This window comes from Homo sapiens, chromosome 12 (assembly GCF_000001405.40).
Source record: "Homo sapiens chromosome 12, GRCh38.p14 Primary Assembly".
NCBI lineage: Eukaryota > Metazoa > Chordata > Mammalia > Primates > Hominidae > Homo > Homo sapiens.
The window spans coordinates 95,238,104-95,261,118 of record NC_000012.12 but is presented as its reverse complement, the minus strand read 5'-3'; the positions used below and the strand labels follow the sequence as shown (position 1 = coordinate 95,261,118).

General features: G+C 38.3%; 1 protein-coding gene across 67 annotated transcripts in view; it reads right to left on the bottom strand.

Moving 5' to 3' along the window:
* The window catches only part of VEZT (vezatin, adherens junctions transmembrane protein), an 84,993-nt gene that overhangs the window by 41,681 nt on the left and 20,297 nt on the right, over positions 1 to 23,015 (bottom strand). For 23 of the 67 annotated variants that reach the window (NR_147923.2, NR_147921.2, NR_147919.2 and 20 more), the window contains 2 exons: positions 9,048 to 9,179; positions 3,880 to 3,969 (listed from right to left, as the gene is read on the bottom strand). Coding sequence is in view for 35 of the 67 variants with exons in the window: in XM_011538549.2 (XP_011536851.1) it covers positions 3,880 to 3,969; positions 9,048 to 9,179 (222 nt within the window). In the remaining 32 variants the exon portion in view is untranslated. Of the gene's footprint in view, positions 1 to 2,831; positions 2,875 to 3,879; positions 3,970 to 4,496; positions 4,570 to 9,047; positions 9,180 to 17,109; positions 17,179 to 18,854; positions 18,956 to 23,015 lie in introns of those variants that run through there. The other 44 variants (NR_147925.2, XM_024449043.2, XM_047429111.1 and 41 more) reach the window with 12 other exon arrangements.

Here is a 23,015-nt window from a genome sequence, read left to right as displayed (position 1 = left end):
AATATTAGGTGCATTTAGATATATTTTATTTATCTTCAGTCCAAAAAGAGAGCATCTTCTCAATGGAATGTTGATCTTTCTTTTAGCCTGATATGGCTTTTTTTTTTTTTTTTACCATCTACTGACACACTCTGCATGTACCTCTGCAGCACTTTTATGTTTCATATTTGAACAACTGCCTCTTCTCTCTTCCCACAATTCTGATTCTAACATTAGGAACCACTTAATTTGACATCCCACCCCACTTTCATAAAAACAGAGCAACACAACTCACTTTATACTATTGTTCAGAGGGGAGAAAAAAGGAGCGCAGGGGCATGGTAGCTTTTTGAGTAATCTCTGAAATTGATCTTACTATTTGGTTCCCCAATTAGACACAGCCATATTCAATGCAAGTATTAAAAATCAAACTTTTGCTACAAAAGCTTTAGACCATACCTTTTATGAGACTTCTATGTACCTATATAAGGTAAGTTTGAAGAAGCCTAACGAGTTGAAGGCTAAAGCTGACAGAGAGTGGAAAAGCCAGTAATATTCAATGGCAGTGCTCTCTCTTCACAGATATTCTACTTAATCAGTTACTCACTTTCTTTAACACCATTCCCTGGCATCAGACTTATGTGTAAAACTGGGATAACACCTCCCCAAAACCAACGTGCTTAGAGGAAGTATTAATAGCATTAGGAATATCTGATTTAAGAATGTGACAAACCCACTGGGCACTGTGGTTCACCCCTGTAATCCCAGCACTTTGGGAGGCTAAGGCGGGCAGATCACTTGAGGCCAAGAGTTCAAGACCAGCATGGCCAACAGAGTGAAACCTCATCTCTACTAAAAATACAGATATTAGCCAGGTTTGGTGGCGTGCACCTGTAGTCCCAGCTACTTGTGAGGCTGAGGCACAAGAATTGCTTGAGCCTGGGAGGCAGAGGTTGCAGTGAGCCGAGATGGTGCCACTGTACTGCAGCCTGAAAAATAGAAGGAGACTCTGTCTCAAAAAAAAAAAAAAAAAAAAAAAAAGTGATCAACCAACAACCTACAATCATCTATGAATACAAATAAACTTGAAAGGCACCAAGACACTCCAAATAACTAAAACAATGTTATCTTAGTGATTAGATTGCCTCACGTAGAGGAAAAACTTGAACTATATACTGATTATTATAACGGTTTAAATTGAATCAGATTAATGAATTAAGTTTCTTTCTTAAGGATAAAATGTAAAATTAGATATTACTCTTTGATTATAAAAATAAGAACTGCAGAAAACATGTTAACTGTGTTACAAGGTAACAATCAAACTACCAGAAAAACTGACACCTGCAAATTAAGAAACATGTCATGACAGTACTATTTGGACTGGGAAGCCCAGATCCAGGTCTCAAACAAATGAAGAAACTGAAAAGGTGCTAATTCTGATCGATTTAAATATTAGCAGGTATCACCTGCATGGCTGGAGGCTCTATGCTCCTGGGATGTGTACTATGTAAACTTTGGCACATTTTCAACAAGTCTGAGTGCCAGGACTTAGTGTCTAGCTTTATATCCTTGCTCCACAACTTAAGCATGTTAATAAGCTCTCTGTGCCAGTTTCCTCTTTGGCAAAAGTGGGATAATAACAGTAGCTACTTCACAGGGTTGTTATGAGGATTAAATAAGTCAGTATCTATAAAATACCAAGAAGAGTGGCTCATAGTAAGCACTGTATGTTAGCTATTACTGTTGTCACTATCTATGCAATAACTGAAACAATAAAGAAAAGCACACGTTGGATATATTACAATACAAAAACTTATAGAACACAAAGTAATTATTACTAGGTTGATGCAGAAAATAAGAGACACAATAGGCTGAAGTTTCGGGAAAGCTTTGAGAAAAAGCTAGGAGTGCTTATTGAAAAGATTCTAATGGATCAAGAAAAAAAAAACAGAAAGTATTCCATCACAGTATAAGAGCACAAACATAGACATACAGAATAAGTACGGAATAAAGGAAAATGAAGACTGGGTTCATTGATACAAATACTGGTGGACAAAGCTGGAAAGGTAGGTTAGGGCCAAATTATGCAGACTCTTTAGTGCTGACGTGACAAATTTGGACTTGATTTGATTGATAAAGATCTTTCCAGGATCTAAATAGGGAAGTGGCATGAGAAAGTACTTAGGAATTCCTTTCTGCATGGATGAAATGAAAGGTTATGAGAAGGCACAGATAAAAAATTAAGAGATTTTGATTTCTTTTTCCTTAGGGATGAAGAAGAGAACTTATTCATTTGTCAGTATTCTTCAAAGATCTTAATCACTTTGGATATCATGGGGCTTTTTATACAAGGATCAAATAAGATAACACGTGTGAAAGCACTTTATAAGCTAAAAGGCACTTAAAAAGTGCCATTACCACTACCCATCATGGTTGCTATAAAGGATTTTTTTAATTTTTAAGAAAAGTACTATAAAAATGAACATTAGTAAAATGTTCAGATATCACAGAGCAATTGCCAATATTCTTACAAAAGAAATGAGGGCCTGCTTCAATATCTGTATAGCTAACAACATTTTAAATACGTCACAATCAAGGGGAAAAAGTCAAGCAATCTCACGCCAAAAGCCACCTTGGCAATTTCTTGTTCCATTACTAGTAAACTAATCCTTAGGTATGTATTCTTATAGTTCTCCATAATATAGGCACAAAAGGGATGCATACAGAAGCTGGCACTGTATAGTGAAACATCACATGAAACATGTGGCCAGTGACACAGAATCAAGAATGAAAAGACCAGGCCTAGGCAGACTATGACTAAATCACAGAAAAATGTATATGGATCCATATACCTTACCACAGTCCTAGTATCACTGAAGAATGAGATGGCTCCACCTGGATAAAAATGGCATTATATGTAGACGATAAGACACTTCATTGACCTTCTCAATACACCTTCAACAAAGATGAAACCCTGAACAAAGAACTTGACAATTTGGATTGCTAAAAAAGTAATTTTAGTCAGCCAAAAAATAATAATACTTGAGCTAGAGAGGTCGTATGCTATAGCAGAAAGAGCATGGCTTTGGAACCAAGAGACCTGGGTTCAAATTCTGGCTCTATCACTTTCTAGCTGAACATTTTTAGACAATTCACTCAGTAAGTTATTAAAACAAACTGATTGTCTGAACCTTGGTTTTCTCGTTACTGAAGCAGACTAAATCTTATAGTGTTGTTTAGATTACCAAATCAAAATGTGAAAGCACTTTGTAAACAATCTCCTTACAAATGTTAATTTACAGGAATGATAATTCTTAAGGTTACAGGCCAGCAGAGATCCTGAAACCTGCTTACTTGTAACTACATTACTCCTTCTGGGAGCCATGAGAACCACATAACTTGAATTTTTAGGCTATACTCCCTGGATTTTGTATTGTTAGGACGTCAGAAGGTTGAAGTATTTCCCCCCTGGAGTTCTGTTACAGCAGAGAGTAGAAAAAAACAAAGCCTCACAAAAATCACAAAGACCTTTCAGGTTGACTGTTTCGAGTCTTTGGGAAATTCTGTGATTTAACAGATTGAATTGATCCCACTAATGACATATTCCTTTACCTATAGAGAGGGATACCTGTCAATGGAGGAAGAGGGCAATAGTAAATTAGCAATCTAACAAATAACGTTTCAATAACTATCAGAGTATTCCATTCTGAGTGGCTAATAACCTCTTTAAAAGCTATAAACAATACCAGTAAGCCCAAATTAAAAGATCCTGAGTTACTGCAGAATCTCTAGTAAAAATCAATTGCTGGCCAAATTGATAGCAAAACAAATTCTGATTCACCAATTATTTCACTAATAACCTAGAACCCTGAAAAGTGGCAAAAAGAAGTGACCACTTACCAACTTGTGAAGTAAGTCATCTTTCTTATTGCACTGAGAAAAAAAAATCCAACTTTTGATGGTTTCAGCCACTTTTAACAGGATACCTTGCTGAAGGAAATGAATGACATTGTATAGGATTATTAAAAGCATACCCAAACAGCAGAAAAACTTCAAAGTACTTACCTCCAATCAATGAGAATTTATATCAGAAAAGGAAGAAAAAAATTGTCCAGGTTATATACCTTGTCAGTACATCTCAGCCTCCTTATTAGTTCCTAAATTTTGTTGCATATCAGGATCACCTGGAGATTTTAGTTAGAAACATATTCTTGGGCCCCCAAACTAAAGATTCTGATTCAATACATTTGGAATGAGGCCTGAAAATCCGATTTTTAAAGAGCAGGCAGAAGTCATTCTGAAGCAGCCCATTTATCCTGGGGAGACTATGTACTATGTCAACATGATGATAGTATTTATTTCAGAAAGAAAAATCATAGGGTGGTTACAAGTTCTCAAATATTAAGACCATTTCATTCCACAATACTAAGTCAAAAAGATACTTTGACCATTTTAGAAAAACTGTCATATATTGATAAAAAAGCTTTACTACTGAATCAACCAAAAATTCAATTTACCTTAATAGCCCATTCCTTGAGCATGCCAGTAAGTGCAGTTTATATTCATTGAGTGATTACTATATCCCAGGTACTGCAAAGGGTCATGGGAAAAAAGATAAATACATGTAACTATTGTTTTCAAGAACTTAGTATAGAAGAAGAGACAATATAAAGAATTACAATCAATGTAAAGTCTGAAAAAGTATTGGAAAAGAGGAGGTCAGAGAGGAGCTAACACTGGAGTTCAGTCCTAACGGATGAGTAGGAATTTAACAAAGAAGGGAAGAACGAGTTGGGCACGGTGGCTCATGCCTGTAACCCCAGCACTTTGGGAGGCCGAGGAGGGCGGAGCACCTGAGGTCAGGGGTTTGAGACCAGCCTGACCAACATGGAGAAACCCCGTCTCTACGAAAAATACAAAATTAGCCAGGCATAGTGGTGCATGCCTGTAATCCCAGCTACTCGGGAGGCTGAGGCAGGCGAATCACTTGAACCCGGGAGGCAGAGGTTGTGGTGAGCCGAGATCGCGCCATTGCACTCCAGCCTGGGTGACAAGAGCGAAACTGCATCTCAAAAAAAAAAGAGAAGATCACTTCAGTCAAGGGAAGAGGATGAAGGAAAGAGCCATTAAAGCACATGTCATGGGGATGGTGGCGCACTCCAGGACAGTTATGACCCAAGAGAAGAAGGGATTAGTAAGGAAGTTAAAAAGGTACACTGAGATAGGTTTTAAAGGATCTTAGACTTACACACCATAATAGTATGAACATTATCCTGTAGGGTGTGAGGAGCTACCAAAGATTTTTATGCAAGGAAGCGAAACAATAAAGAAAAATAATTGGCAATAGTGCAGGGGCTAAACTGGCAGGGTATGATTGTAGACAAGAAGCATGATTAAAAGGATATTCAAGGCCGGGGGCGGTGGCTCCCGCCTGTAATCCCAGCACTTTGGGAGGCCGAGGTGGGTGGATCACAAGGTCAGGAGTTCGAGATCAGCCTGGCCAACATAGTGAAACCCCGTCTCTACTAAAAATACAAAAAATTAGCCGGGCGTGGTGGTGGGCACCTATAATCCCAGCTACTCAGGAGGCTGAGGCAGGAGAATCGCTTGCACCCGGGAGGTGGAGGTTGCAGCGAGCTGAGATCGCACCACTGCACTCAAGGCTGGGCGACAGCGCGAGACTCCATCTCAAAAAAGAGAAAAGAAAATTAATCACTCAGCTAAATAACAATAAAGGCCTTTAAGTTAGGTAATGAGTACAAAAAAGATCATGAATAAGAGTTAGATTTAAGAGACACAGAAGCTGACTTGATGTATCACTTGATGACCAAGGCTATGTCAGCGCGATTGGAAATGGTATGGTAACTGAGAGGGTGGTGATTTGGGACTATTAAAAAGAACACTTTTTGTTTGTTTGTTTTGGGGGTGTCTGAGGGGGTAGTGATTTGGGACTATTAAAAGGAACATTTTTTGTTTGTTTGTTTTGGGGGTGTCTGAGGAAGTCCTATTTTAGACAAGTTGAATCTGAGCTTTGTGGGGCACATGTAGAAGAAAATGTCTAACAAGCACCTGGAACTCAGCAAAGCCTGGAGAATGGACATAAGTGGCAAGAAAGTAGATGAGATCCCCAGAGAAGATATCAAGCCAACGAGAAGCCTGCTGCTAAAACTCTATGGAATGAATTTAAGAATAATCACAGGAAAAGAAACCAGAAAAAGAGACAGAATGAATATTCATAGTAAGAATATCAGGGCAGACTACTTAACAACTACTAACAAGCATATGCAAAAATAAAGTTAAAAAAGAGAGAGCAATTAATGCTAAGGATGGTTTCATTAAGAACTCATAGAAAAACAGCTTTTCAGAGGAAATAATTGATACTTCATTCCTTGAACAGAATTTTGGGAGCAATTCTAAACATACATTCCCTGACAATGAGCTAAACAATACAACAAGTTTTCTAAAATTTAGCTCTCCCCAAATTAGGAAAAAAATTGGTCGGGCATGGTGGCTCATGCCTGTAATCTCAGCAGTTTAGGCCAAGGTAGGCGGATCACTTGAGGTCAGGAGTTTAAGACCAGCCTGGCCAACAAGGTAAAACCCCATCTCTACTAAAAATACAAAACTTGGCTGGGCGTGGTGGCCTGTGCCTGTAATCCCAGCTACTTGGGAAGCTGAGGCAGGAGAATTGCTTGAACCTGGGAGATGGAGGTTGCAGTGAACCAATATTGCGTCACTGCCCTCCAACCTGGGCGACAGAGTGAGACTCCGTCTCAAAAAAAAAAAAAAAAAAAAAAAAAGAACTTCGTTTTAGAAAAATATAGATCCTACAGTTAAAAACTTGTCTTAGAAATGTGCAATATGGCTGGGTGTGGTGGCTCACATCTGTAAGGCCAAGGTAGGAGGACTGCTTGAAGTCAGGAGTTTGAGACCAACCTGGGCAACATAGTGAGTGGTAATTTTTAAATCTTTACAAAAAATAAAGAAGAAAATTAGCTGGGCATGGTGGCACATGTCCGTGGTCCCAGGTACTTGGGAGGCAGAGGTGGGAGGATCACTTGGGCCCAGGAAGTGAATGCTGCAGTGAATTGTAATCACACCACTGCATTCCAGCCTGGGTGACAGGGGAAGACCCTATCTCAAATAAATAAATAAATAAATAAAATGAAGACAAAACAAACTTTCTAGACATATGATAATTTTTTTGAGATGGGGTCTTGCTATGTTGCCCCAGCTGGTCTCCAACACTTGGGCTCAAGTGGTCCTTCTGCCTCAGCCTCCCAAAGTGCCGGGATTATAGACATGAGCCATTGTGCCCAGCCTGGTAATTTTTTAAAACAACCTCTGGCTATGCTTTTTATTGTTCCTCAGTTTCTGAGGGGATTCAATTTTAAACTCTCACTTGACTTATTTATAAACTAGCAACAACATTTCTATATATAAAAATACTTGTCATAAATGACAATAATACCTATAAAACCCAAGTTTGTATCAAAACAAAACAAAACAAAAAATTAGAGGTCAATGACCATCTGCTGCTCTAAGACTATCCCCTGGCCATTCTTTGTTTTGTGTTGCCAAGTAACCTCAAATCCAAGCTTATTAAATAGCCTATTATATACAAACCACTTCCCAGGAACATTCACTCTTAAAAGGGGCACAGGGAAGAAATGGTATAAATGGAGGACTAGGAAAACTGGTTCTGATCCATGTGAGCTCTAACTCTCCTAACTCTCACCTTCTGGGTGTTAGTCAAAAAATTCTCTAGTGTTTACTAGACTATTACAAATGGGCCAGCTTGGTTACCTCACATTTTAGGTGTCTTTGTAAGAAGATTGGGGAAAGGATCCTTCTGCCAATCCATACTTTCCCTGTAAATGACTAATTGAAAGTTTTAAATGCTCCTCTCAATAGTGATAAAACACTGATTAAACTAGAATGCTCAAGGAATGAGGAAATTTGGTTATGTTTTTTCTATTAAATTACAATTCCTTTGGTTAAAACTAAAATATACTAGACATGTAGACAGAGGTTAAGAACATAAACTCGGAGTAAAGTACAGGTTCTAATCCCAACTCTACCTCTTACAAGCTAAGTAACCTATGATAATTTATAATCCTCCTATGCTTCAGCTGTCTCATCTAAAAATAGAGTAAATTTATTTTTTTTTCTTTGAGACACAGTTTTGCTCTTGTTGCCCAGGCTGGAGTGCAATGGCACAATCTTGGTTCACTGCCACCTCCGCCTCTCAGGTTCAAGCGATTCTCCTGCCTCAGCCTCCCGAGTAGCTGGGATTACAGGCGCCCGCCACCACGCCCAGCTAATTTTTCCATTTTTAGTAGAGACAGGGTTTCACCATGTTGGCCAGGCTGGTCTCGAACTCCTGACCTCAGGTGATCCACTCGCCTTGGCCTCCCAAAGTGCTGGGATTACAGGCGTGAGCCACCGCGCCTGGCCCATAAATTTCTTATTTTAGTAAACATGGCTAGCAGGACATAAATGAATCCAGAAAATGCATTTTGTAGAACATAATTAATGGAGATTTTTCTAGTATCTCGGCCTCAATGCTGGACATCGACTATGAGATATTTAATGTATAAAAGTATTTAATTCTATAGATAAAAAAGTCACCAGAAGTTATGCTCACTCCATTATCTACACCTGAAACTGTGTTTAAGAAATATCAATTTGCGTTCTTGTCATTCATGCTGTTTTTTAAAAAAAAGATTTAAAGAGAAAAATCCAGTTAGTAGAGGATTCCTATTAGTTGTGCTCTCATTAAAGTTTTAGTATATTTTTTTCGATTCTGTTTGGATAGCATCAATATTTAAATAAGTAATGTATTTTAATTCTCTACCAAATTATTTCCTCACTGGATATAAATTACCTACAAAGTATTCCAAAGCAGTAAGGATTCATGTTTATCTAACAGAAAGTTTTGTACTATTGATGAAATAAATAGTCTTACCAGTGTGAGGGAGGATATGGAAGTGCTTAAGAAGTATCTGAATAGCCAGTAAGGTAAAGTGCAAAAGATTCGGCCAGAAAGAATGAGCATGCGTTCTTACTTTTGGTAGGACTCTTGTAGGAGGCTTTTGTTGTCCCTCTGTTGTGCATTTTTCTGTTTTTGGTGACAAAGAAGAACATATTTCAAAGTCTGTGTGTCCCAGATCCTGTAAGTATTGGTAAAGTGGAGAATTCTGAAAAAGACACAAAATAAAGCAAATTTCAAGATCATTACTACTTCAAAAGTTTCGGGGGCCAAACTTAATACCAGACTTCACTATTGTGACCAGTATGTCCAAATTCTTTAAGGCTTCTTCTATAAGAACTGAATTATCTGTTATAATACAATGCCATTTAACACAAACAAATCAACAAACAATTCAACAGAGGAACCCAAAAAAGGAAAAACTCTAAATAAAACACACAGATTTTTTTTTTGAGTGAGTACCAGCAAGAAAAAATGAATTTAGGAATATAAATAGATTGTTAAGCAATTTCACTGTCCCAAATTTTATAGTCTTAGATTGCTTCAAAATAGCCAATGTTATAGATAACTCAAACGACAATGTTATTACTCAAAGCCAAGAATAATTAAACAATGATTATATTGTATGAATTATAATATTTTTATCATCTCATCATATTCCTTAATTCATTCAAGCACAAATACGTATTATCTACCATATGCTCAGCACTGTGAACAAACTTAAAACTCTTCAATAATGTTACCTTAGATAAGCTATATCTTACATACGAGCATATGACAAATAGAACACAGTATGGCTAACAAAAGCATTAGAACACAGAGGTTAAGAATACAATCTGCTGGGCACAGTGGCTCATGCCTGTAATCCCAGCACTTTGGGAGGACAAGGTGGGTGGATCATCTGAGGTGAGGAGTTTCAGACCAGCCTGGCCAACATGGTGAAATGCTGACTCTACTAAAAATATAAAAATTAGCCAGGCATGAAGGCTTGTGCCTGTAATCCCATCTACTCGGGAGGCTGAGGCAGGAGAATCGCTTGAACCCAGGAGGCAAAGGTTGCAGTGAGCCGAGATCACGCCACTGCACTCCAGCCTGGGCGACAAGAGCAAAACTCCATCTCAAAACAAACAAACAAAAACCAATCTACAGATTCAAATCCCGACTCTGCCTCTTACTAGCTAAGTAACCAGGAAATTTATAATCCTTTTGTGCATCAGCTGTCTCATCTAAAAATAGCAGTAATAGCACTTAGTTCATAGAGTTCTTATGAAAATTAAATTAATATAAAGCATCTGGGACAGTCCTTGCCACATAGTAAGCACTCCATTTATACTTTTAACTATATATAAGCTATGTGGAAACAGCACAGATTTTCAGAACAGACCAAAAAAAAAAAAAAATCACCCCAACCCCATCAAACAGAAATATCAATGTCACTACTGGATGAAAATCTACTGGACAACTATTTCTGAACAGCAAGCTTAAATTTTAACTTTCAACCTTCTCTAAAGCATACAGTTGGTGACATGTTTAAAAATAAATCTTGGCTGGGGGCGGTGGCTCACGCCTGTAATCCCAACACTTTGGGAGGCTGAGGCAGGCAGATCATCTGAGGTCAGGAGTTCAAGACCAGCCTGGCCAACATGGTGAAACCCTGTCTCTACTAAAAATATAAAAATCAGCCGGGCATGATGGCAGGTGCCTGTAATCTCAGCTACTCAGGAGGCTGAGGCGGGAGAATGGCTTGAACCTGGGAAGTGGAGGTTGCAGTGAGCCGGGATTATGCCATTACATTCCAGCCTGGGTGACAGAGCAAGACTTTGTCTCACAAAAAAAAAAAAAAATTAAAAAATTAAAAAAAAAAATAATAAATCTTGATTCCATTCAATGAAATATTTAAATCTCCAAAAAGACTACAATTAGGTGGGGGGAGGGGGGAGGGATAGCATTAGGAGATATACCTAATGCTAAATGACGAGTTAATGGGTGCAGCACACCAGCATGGCACATGTATACATATGTAACTAACCTGCACATTGTGCACATGTACCCTAAAACTTAAAGTATAATAATAATTAAAAAAAAAAGACTATAATTAGGTTTTAGAGATAAAACAACAGAAAAAAAAAAGAGCAACACAGTTAAAGTACTATGTGGCAAAATCTTAACTAAGTATTTTACTTTCATCTTCTCAGTTAAGGTTCACAACAATAAAAGTTATTATTATCATCATTATCATTATTATTTTTATTCCAATTCCATAGATGAGGAAACGGGTTCACTCAGTTAGAAAAAGCAGGATTATACTCTATTACCTAAAATAAGAAACAGTCCCTTCCATGTCTATTAAGGAAGACACCAAAAAGTTACTTATAGTTTAGTACAAACACACCAAGCAAGTTAACAATGTCAGGAAAGTATTTGGATACTATGGAAACAGGAGAGATACCTAAGATAGACCAAGACATTTAGGGAATATATTCTTGCATTCAGAAGAATAAGGAAGAGTGGGAATCTGCTGGACTGGTAGCAATTTGTGGAATATCAATTTGAGAGAACAGGAATTGAGTCAAATGCCTTTCTTTTAAGCTATGTTTAATCTCTTTTTTTAAGAAAAATATTTTTTAAAAAAGTAATATATCCCTCTACCAGATTTAAAATTTCTGGCAGCACAAATGGTTAATCTTGATATCACCCATAATGTATATTCAAATATTGCCTTGAATTAGTGAATCTGCATTTTCAAAGTGAACTGTGAACCCCACCCTGCTCTTGCCCCAGTGGGGGCAAAAGAACAAGAATGCCAGTTCATTTGTTTGGGCCGACCTTACATACTTTAAAAAAAAACATTGTTTTTAAGGCAGTAGAACCCTTTCTTCAAATGAACTCCCATGGGGAAGAACAATAAATAAGATGGATCAAAGGGAAGTTACTCTAACTCTGGGTCAGCAGCCTTTTTCGGTAAAAGGCCAGATCGTAAATATTTCAGACTCTGCAAGCCATATGGTCTCTGTCACAACTAATCAAGTTTGCTGCTGTAGTGAGAAAACAGACTCAGCCAATACATAAACTAATGAGTATGGCTATGTCCCAATAAAACTTTATTTATAGACACTGAAATTTGAACTTCATGTAATTTTCATATGTCACAAAATATTCTGATATTTTCCCCAGCTGTTTAAAAACATTTTAAAAACCTGCCATCCAAAAATGGGGGTACGGGTCACGGTGGCAAATCCGGCCCAAAAACCTTAATTTGCTGATTCCTGTTCTTTTTGTTTGTTTTCTGTTTTTCTTTTTCTTTCTTTCTTTTTTTTTTTTTTTTTGAGATAGGGTCTCACTGTGTTGTCCAGGCTGGCCTAGAACTCCTGGGCTCAAGCTATCCTCTGGCTTCAGCCTCGTGAGTAGCTGGGACTACAGGTGCAAGCCATCGTGCCCTCCTCTCCTAATAAAAGACTCAGTCAAAACCAGGAGACAAACTCTTGACTGCTAACTGTTCTCTGGCAAGAGACTTAGAGAGTCAAGATGAGTACAAACTTTTTATTGAGATTATAATGCCCTTTTTTACTGTACAGATAGCAGATGCTCTCTCATCAGTGACCCCAACGTCCTTTCCTTTTCCACTTTATGTCACAGATCACAAAATAACAAAATGTAGTATAGATTGTTTTTTAAAAAATGATAACCAGAAGAGAAACAAGAATACTTTTTTCTTCAAATATGTTCTGTATATAAGCTGAGGGCATATATACACATTCAGTTCGGATCACCATAATCTGGAACACTTGCTATTTCACATTTCACAATGACAGCACATTAATCATTCACTTTATATATCACAGATCATATCCAACAGTATCATGTGATACAGTAAATTCTACTAGTAGTTTATTCTGCTTTTTCTGCAAATACAATTTCTCATTAACTTTTTGGCTGGTTTCACAGGCTTCTTGTTAAAGGTGTGGCACACCCATTTGTGCTATATAACTATGAGTGATTCCTCAGTAGTTTTGGTTTCTTCCCCATCATTAGTAACAGATCAGTTTTATCCCAGAAAGCACTGTTTTACAGTTCTGGAAAAATCTGGCTTACCAAGGTGATCACCATACTTTGTTTCATGGCTGTATGTAACAAAGCATTTGTCAAAGTTTCATAGAAGACAACCTTTGGAGACTGAGGTGAATGTATTGCAGGTTTAATAAAATGTAATTTCTAGTTATCTACTATTATATTTCATATTTGCATTTTTCTATTTTTGGCTGTTAGTGCAAATCATATTACTTCCTAACACATGTAAACCCAGATACTGTATGAACACTGTGAACACTCAAGTTCTATTCATTATGCTTACATTAATTCTTTTAAAATGTTTAGGAATAAAATTGCTATCACTTTTTCTCCGAAACTGTCAAATAACTTGTATATTATTTAATAGATCTCAGAAAACCATATCCTAACCAGTAGTTCTCAAATTATTTGGTCTCAGCTCTCCTTATAATCTTAAAAATTATGGAGAGCCCCAAAGAGCTTTTGTTTACATGGACGTCTAATGACATCATATTAGAACTCAAAACTAAAATTTAAAAAAAACTTATTATTTTACTTGAAAATAGCAATAAACCTGTTACAATGTTAAACAACATATGTTAATGAAAAAATTCTCCAAAATGAAAAAAATTTATTGAGAAGAACAGATTGTTTTACACTTTTTGCAAATCTCTTTATTGTTTGGCTTAATAGAAAATTGCCGGATACTTATATCTGCTTCTGCATTCAATGTGTTGCAATGTATTGTTTTGGGTGAAGTATACAGAAAAATAAAGGCTTACACAAATAATATAGTTGGAAAGCCAGAAGTATTTTAATAGTCTTTTCTGATCATTGTAGTATCAAAGAAGAATAGCCGTACCGAAACAAGTAATAGTTTCAAATAGCTAAATGTTAACGTAGAATATGCAACCATCTGATGAGCTTTTTGTACTCTGTATACACACATGAGAATGACAGTGACAAAGGCAAATAATGTCTTAGTATTAAAACCTGATCACTCAACATAATTTATTTTGACTTTTTTTCTTTTACAGCAAGGGGAGGCTCCCTATTGCAACTGTTCTGACCACTATATTTTAGAGGTTTTGGGATATTAGGCTTATACACTAATAAATACAGGGAAATATTTATTTTTCATAAAGTATTAGATGGTAGCTTTAGAAAGGGGTGTTTTTGTGCAGAGGGTAAGGCAGAGTAGGTAGTTGTCTCTATTATGACTTTTCCTTGGTTCAAGCAAAATAAAACCGCAAATGTTTTATTTAAGTTGTTTTTTTGAAGAGAAATCATTAACACTGGATTCAAACTATAATTTCGAAGTATTGGAGAATGTTACTGATGCCAAAAGAAATATGAGAAACCTCAGACACAGCATGTGGGAGCTCCTCAGGAAATCTTTGTGGTTCACTATTCCTGTAAGTTTTAGCTGACAGAAAACACATATCATAACACCAGAAAGAATTTTGCTAAATGAAAAACAGCCAAGAACCTTTGGTTGTGCTAAGATTGTTCTGGTGGCCGAAACATTTTTGCAATAAAAATAAACAAAAATAGACAGGAAAATCCCACATTTTTGCTGAAGAAAGCTCTTTAAGAAAATGTCTCATCCAAGTCCTACACTACTGACACTTCTTGCCAGCCCTGCTCCCTGCAGGCCCCACATAAAGATATCAGATCTGGGTGGGTGCGGTGGCTCACGCCTGTAATCCCAGCACTTTGGGAGGCCAAGGCGGGTGGATCACTTGAGGTCAGGAGTTCGAGACCAGTTTGGCCAACATGGTGAAACCCCGTCTCTACTAAAAACACAGAAATTAGCCAGGCATGGTGGCACATGTCTGTAATCTCAGCTACTCGGGAGACTGAAGCAGGAGAATCCCTTGAACCCAGGAGGTGGAGGTCGCAGTGAGCTGAGATCCCGCCACTGCACTCCAGCCTGGGCAACAGAGCGAGACTCCGTCTCAAAAAAAAAAAGAAAAAGAAAAAAAAGAAAAGATATCAGATCTCCCAGATGTATAAAGTCCAACCATTCACTTATGGCAGTGCTTGTTTTCTACATGATTCATGATGTATTCTGTACAAGTGCCAGTGTCATTACTACATCATTGCTGGTTAGCTTTTATTTGAGACAGGGTCTTTCTCTGTCACCCAGGCTGGAGTGCAATGGCACGATCATAGCTTACTATAGCCTCAACCTCTGGAGATCAAGCAATCTTCCCACCTCAGCCTCTGAGTGGCTGGGACTACAGGTGCAAGCTACCATACTCAGATAATTTTTAAATTTATTGTAGAGATGGGGTCTTGCTATGTTTCTCTGGCTGGTCTCCAACTCCTGGCCTCAAGGGATCCTCCTGCCTCAGCCTCCTGAGTCACTGGGATTATAAGCATGAGCAGTTCTACCTGGCTACAGTGCTTTTATTATTAGCTTCACTCTTTTAAACTGCTTTAAACTCTTATAGATAGAACAAGTTGTAAGCTTTCAGGTCTTGGGCCAGAGAAGAATGGGCCAAAGATGGCAGAATTAGGCAACTGATTCAATAATAAATACTTACTGAACATCTTCCATGTCAGGCAACATGTAGGCACAGGGGATAAAACAAAACAGGAACAGTTTTTCCCAAAAGAGTTTTATCTTGTAATACTTCTGATAAAACCACGGTTCATCAAGCTTTCAACATTATCAAGGAAATATTGAGTGCTCTGGTACTTTCTAGGTATGCTCTGTTTCCAGAAAAATCCTCTCCCTGTTTCAGCTTCCTTAAGTACAAAGTAAGAATGCTATGGGACTCTTAAACTTGTTCAGGTAGTAAAACAAAACTCACGACACTCTGAGAAACAAGATAAAAGGTGGTATTTTTATTTTTTATTTTTTGAGACAGAGTCCCCCTTTCACCCAGGCTGGAGTGCAGTGGCACGATCTTGGCTCACTGCAACCTCCACCTCCCGGGTTCAAGTGATTCTCCTGCTTCAGCCTCCCAAGTAGCTGGGATTACAGGCATGCGCTACTACACCCAGCTAATTTTTTGTATTTTTAGTAGATATGGGGTTTCACCATGTTGGCCAGGCTGGTCTTGAACTCCTGACCTCAAATGATCCGCCCATCTCAGACTCCCAAAGTGCTGGGATTACAGGCATGAGCCACCTTGCCTGGCCAAAAGTGGTATTTTAAAATACAGAATTTTGTGCTAAACCAAATGTCATCTTATGCTACAAAATAAGCTAAATACAGAGTATGGAAATCCTGTAGATCAAATTATTTAGTTTCTATGACTCAAGGACATATCTAAATAAATAATGAAATGCATTTGTCTTTAAAAAAAAAAAACACACCAAAAAAAATTACCAAATTTCTTCAACAAATAAATGACTTTTAAAAAGGTGAGAGGCAGGAGACTGAGGTGGGAGGGAGGATGGTTTAAACCTGGGAGGCAGAGGTTACAGTGAACTGAGATCACACCATTGCACACCAGCCTGGATGACAGGGCCAGATCTTGTCTCAGAAAAAAAAAAAAAGAGGCAAGAGGGTGGGGAAAGACTAAAGTGACGTATCACCCAAATGCAACGTAGGGACTTGTTTTGGATTCTGCTTGGAACAACTGTAAGAAGGCATTTTTGAGAATTTAAGGAAGCCCAAACACAGACTAGGTATTAGATATTAGGAAATTATTATTAATTTTGTCAGATGAGATAATTATATTGGGGTTATCATTATTTATTTATTTAGAAACAGGGTCTCGTTCTGTCACCCATGCAGTGGTGTGCATAGCTCACTGCAGCCTCAAACTCCTGGGCTCGAGGAATCCTCCCACCTCAACCTCCTGTGTAGCTGGTACTACAGGTATGTGCCATTATGTCCGGCTAATTGTTTTTTATTTTAGAGACAGGGTCTCACTATGTTGCCCAGGCTGGTCTCCAACCCCTGGGCTCATGTGATCCTCCCACCTCGGCCCAAAGCACTGGGATTATAGGTGTAAGGCACTGTGCCTGGCCAGAGTTATCTTGAAAAAGGAAAAAAAAAAAAGAGTTTTTAGTCTGTTTTGTGTTGCTATAACAGAATACTTGACACTGCATATTTTATAAAGAAAGAAGCTTACTTAGCTCATAGTTCTGCAGGCTGGGAAGTTCAAGAGCATGCCACTGGCTTCTAGCAAGGGCTCTGCTGCCTAGATATAATATGGTAGAAGGTCAAAGCGGGAGTGGGTATGTGCAAAGGGGCCAAGCCCTAAGAAAGTCCTTACTTTATAACAACCTGCTCTTTCAGGAATTAATCAGTTCCCAAGAGAACTAATTCAGTTTTGAGAGAGCAAGAACTCACTCACTATTGTGAGAATGGCACCAAGCCATCCATGAAAGTGGAGCCTCGTGACCTAAATGCCTCCCATTAGGTCCTACCTCTTAAAGGTTCTACCTCCCAACATCGTAGCATGGCAATTAAATTTCAACATGAGTTTTGGCAGGGACAAACCACACCTAAATCACAGCAAGTACTTGTCTGTTAGAGATACATACTGATACATTTACAGGTGAAATTAGGTAATGTCTGATATTTGCTTTATTTTTATTTATTTATTTATAACAGGCCAAATGGGAGTCACATGGTATTTGCTTTAAAATACACCAAGAAAAAAGATGGGGGAGGGTGAGAGGAATAGATGAGACAGTTTGGTAAAATGTTAACAGCTGCTGAAGCTGAAGCTGAAGCTGAGTGATGGGTAAATGGAGCTTTTTTTTTTTTTTTTTTTGAGATGGTGTCTCACTCTGTCACCCAGGTTGGAGTGCAGTGACACTATCTCTGCTCACGGCAACCTCCAAGTGATCCTCCCATCTCTGTCTCCCAAGTAGCTGGGACCACAGGCATGCACCACCACCCTCAGCTCACTTTTTGTATTTTTGGTAGTGATGGGGTTTCACCAGGTTGCCCAGGCTGGTCTGGAACTCCTGAGCTCAAGTGATCTGCCCACCTCAAACCTCCCAAAGTGCAGGAATTACAGGCATAAGCCACCAGGCCTGGCCATGGAGTTTTCATTGTAGTATTCTCTCCCTTAAAATACATTTTTAAGGTCTATAATAAAAGTCTTTTAAAAATCAGATGCTAGGTTTTCCTAAAGTCTGGTATAAAAGGCTTAAGAAAATACTATGGAACAAAAATGTAAACTTGAAAAAATTCAACTTATTATTATAATCTGGGGAAAATATCATTTTACTGATTTTTTTTTTTTTTTTTTTTGGTGAGATGGAGTTATGCTCTTGTCACCCAGGCTGGAGTGCAATGGCACCATCTCGGCTCACTGCAACCTCCGCCTCCCAGGTTCAAGTGATTCTCCTGCCTTAGCCTCCCAAGTAGCTGGGATTACAGGAGCCAGCCACCACGCCCAGCTGACTTTTGTATTTTTACAAATACAGGGTTTTACCAGGTTGGCCAGTCTGGTCTCGAACTCCTGACCTCAGGTGATCTGCCTGCCTCAGCCTCCCAAAGTACTGGGATTACAGGCGTGAGCCACCACGCCCGGCCCATTTTATTAGATTTTAAAACACTCCACACGTAGTCCCAGCTACTGAGGATGCCTGCTTGAGCCCAGGAGTTTGAGGCCGTAGGGCCTATGATCACACTTGTGAATAGCTACTGCACTCCAGCCTAGGCAACATAGCAAAATCCTGTCTCTAAAAAAGAAAAGAAAACAAAACAAAATAAAAACCAGAAAAAACCCATTAGAGTCTTACAAACTTCTATCTAATAGTCTCAGGTGATTTTATTTTTATTTTTATTTTTTTTAGAGATGGGGTCTCACTATGCTGCCCAGGCTGATCTTGAACTCCTGGCCTCAAGCGATCCTCCCACCTTGGCCTCTCAAAGTGCTGGGATTACAAGTGTGAGCCACCATGTCCAGGTCAAACTTCCATCTAGTAGTGGTACTTCCATAGTAGTGGTAGTTTTAATGTCTATTGAAAGAGAATACGACAAAAAGCAAATGTTAATATAGATAAGATCTAAAATAAATTTATGAGTTAATCACATGTGTATCAACTAGTGTAACTTGTACATGTGCTATTTTTTGTGTTTATTTTTAAAAAATTCAGAAAATGATGAGCAAGTATTTGGACTTGCAAACTTCCTGCAACAATGTCTACGCTTTTTAATATTTTCGCCAAGGTCAACAAATATCAAAGGTATCCTCTAGCAACATGATTTCAAGTTGCTAGTCTCAGTGGAGGCACAAATAAGTGTCTACTTACCTGTCAATTTGAATTATTCACATTTTCTTTCCACAAACTAATGTAAAGTTCATGGAATAAACTATTCTCAATTATGTGATTTTTCTGAGCCATGTTTTAAAATCACCATTAAACAAGACAGTTAAAAACAAAAAGTAGAAACAAAAAAACTACTATGTTCTTATAAAGCAGTGGTTCTCAAAGTAAATCATCACTGCACAACTCCCCCTCCCCACATTTGGCAATTTCTGGAGACATTTTTCATTGTTAAAACTGAGGGGTGTGCTAGGCAGGGTAGCTCACTCCTTTAATCCCAGTACTTTGGGAGGCCAAGGCAGGAGGAATTGCTTGAGGCCAGGCGTTTGAGACTATCCTAGGTAATATAAAGCAAGACCTTGTCTCTACTAAAAATAAAAAAATTAGCCAGAAATGGTGGTGTGCGCCTCTGGTCCCAGCTACTTGGGAGGCTGAAAGTGAAGGATTGCTTGAGCCTGGAGTCAAGGCTGCAGTAAGCCATGCAAGACTCGTCTCAAAACAAACAAACAAAACCTGTTGGCAAGGCACGGTGGCTCACACCTGTAATCCCAGCACTCTGGGAGGCCAAGATGGGTGGGTCACTTGAGGTCAGGAGTTTGAAACCAGCCTGGCCAACATGGTGAAACCTTGTCTCTACTAAAAAAAAATACAAAAATTAGCCGGGCGTGGTGGTGCACATCTGTAGTCCCAACTACTTGGGAGGCCTGAGGCAGGAGAATCACTTGAACCCGGGAGGCGGAGGCTGCAGCTGAGATAGCGCCACTGCACTCCAGCCTGGGCAACACAGCAAGACTCCGTCTTAAAAAACAAAAACAAAACAAAAAAATCCCCAAAAAACTGTGGGGTGGATGTGAGCAGCGCTACTGGTATCTAGTGTGTAGAGATCGGGATGCTGCTCAACATCCTATATTGCACAGGACAACCCTCACAAAGAGTTATCTGGCCCAAAGCATCAATAGTTCTAAGGCTGAGAACCTGTTTTTGAGTATAAGGAATCAAAGATTGAAAAAATCACAAAAAAATATGTAGCCTAGCAGCTGCTTTCATTATTTACTTTTTATTTTGGGACGATGACTGATTTGAAAAGCAATGACCAAAATGGAAAATTAGCTGTTTTTCCATGACTTGCAATGCTCAACAGCCTGTTGCAAAAACAGGCTTTCTAAGAGTGAAATGAGTTACCTTCGAAATAACTGCATTAGAATTTATGCATTGAAATTTTAATCAGCTACTAATATAAAACCAAAATAATTATAGCACTTGGTTACACTAAGTATTGTGATAATCAATATGAACCTTTAAATAGGCTAAGAAATGTTATTACAGTATTAAAAATATCTGAAGAAAATAATTTTCTATATAACATCGTTTTACTCCAGTAGAGCCTTAAATTTTAAAAACTTTAAGAATAGCTGAGCTAAGCTGTTGGGAGATTATTTCTACATAAACTTCATGCTCATCTAACTGAACTTCAGTCTTCCAATAAAAAATTTTCCTTATTTAAAAAATTATGTTGGGGTGTCAACATAAGAAAAGAAGTGCAAATCTGACTATCTGGGCCATAGATATTAACTAGGAAAGTTAGATATCTCAATAAACCTAGCCTCTTCCACAAATGGCACTTTACTGAATGGTTTCTTTTGGATATTGACACACTATTAATATCAATACTACAGGTCCACAATCCAGCACATCTACTGGGCTAAGAACAGTCAATGATTGTCTATCTTCCAACTCAGTAGTCATTGTTGCAATGTTTCTGTTTTCCTCTTTCTTTTCTTCCTTCCTTCCTTCCTTCCTTCCTTCCTTCCTTCCTTCCTTCCTTCCTTCCTTTCTTTCTCTCTTTCTCTCTCTGTCTCCTCTCTCTCTCTCCTCTCTCTCTCTCTCTCTCTCTCTCTCTCTCTCTTTCGAGTCTCCCTCTGTTGCTCAGGCTGGAGGGCAGTGGCACAATCTCAGCTCACTGCAACTTCCACCTCTCAGGTTCAAGTGATTTTCCTGCCTCAGCTTCCCGAGTAGCTGGGATTAAAGGCATGTGCCACCACACCTGGCTAATTTTTGTATTTTTAGTAGAGATGGTGTTTCACCATGGTGGCCAGGCTGGTCTCAAACTCCTGACCTCAAGTGATCTGCCCTCCTTGGCCTCCTAAAGTGCTGGGATTACAGGTGTGAGCTACCGTGCTGGGCCTTATGTCACTTATTCTGTCTGTCTGAACCCTCCGAGCTCTTCACACTAGCCCTGATGCACCCTTGAGACTCTCTCCTTCCCTTTATCAGAAGAGCTGATCTCAGAGCCATATACCCTTTCAGAAAAGCAATTTGTAGTCTGCACTAACTAGTGGCCAAATTCTGATTCTGATCCCTCACACTATCTATTCTCTCTTGCAGATGGCAATGACTGAGTGCTAACAGCATTCCAGGGTAAAGATCATCTGGATAGAAAAGGGACAATCATCATTTACTCCTTTATCACTAGCCAAATATTTATTGAGCACCTACTCTGTGTCAGGCACTAGTTACTTTAGCAGTTCTCTGCCATTAACTTCTCTCTGGGGATATACAAGAAAAGTTAACTTATTTCATCTGTAAAAGGACACTAAGCTCAACTGCTCAACCTCAGTTTGTTTTTTTGTTTTTTACTGCCTTGCTACTTTTATACTAAAAATTTAAAAAATACAAAAAGATATAAAATGAGAAATAACTTTGTTTTTCCTACCCTAGTCCCCTAGTCTCTCACCCAAAAGGTAATAAATATTTAGCTCATGAATCCTTCCCCCAAAATTTAGTATCCACTTATATATGTATGAATAGCCTTCAAAATTTCTATACAAATGGAAATATACTATATACTTTTCTCTGCACTTGCTTCATCGAATGTATTTTAGAGACCTTTCCATATTAGGACATATATTGTACCTTATTCCTTTTTAGTGTCCTTATAGCATTTCAATTCTATGAATCTATCATGATTTATTTATCCAGTCTCTTATTGTTGGATAACTGGGACTACAAGAAGTATAAAAAATGAAAACATTTAATAAATGTGTTTAAGTATTAAAATCAAAATAACTTGATTACTGATTGAAATGGTTGGCAATGGAGGGATCAAGATTAAGATTTCTGATTTGAAGAATCAGGTGGTGCTATTTAATGAAATATGAAACAGTGGCGTAGCAACAAATCTGAGGAGGAAGGTGATGTATTAGAAGTGCCTATGAGATAGTCAAATGTGAATGGCTTAGACCTAAAATGTCTGGAGGTCAGGAAAGTAGCCTACTGAATGTATACATTCAAGTTTTTAGCATATAAATATGGTGGCAAACTCATATGACATACCAGTATAGAAACATATGTAGTCTGGAAGATCAACTAGAGATAATGGCAAGAGAAGACAGGAAGGCCCTAACAGAGTTACTATATATATTTTAGAAAACAGTAGAGCCAAGCCTGAAAAACAATGTAGTAACACTAAAAATAGTTGACATTTGCTGAGTTGCTTATTTACTAGGCATTGAGTTAAGCACGTTTTATAATACCTCATTTAATTCTAACAACTCTATAAAGAGGTATTTTTATTATTACCCTCATTTTACAGATGAGGAAACTGAGTCATAAAGAGGTTATAACTTGCTTAAAGTCACCCATCAGAATATAAACCCAGTTAGTCTGATTCCAAAGCCCATACTTTTAAACTATAATATAAAATTGTCTCTTTGAGAAAAATTGAGATGTAAAAGAAACAACCTCTCTCAAG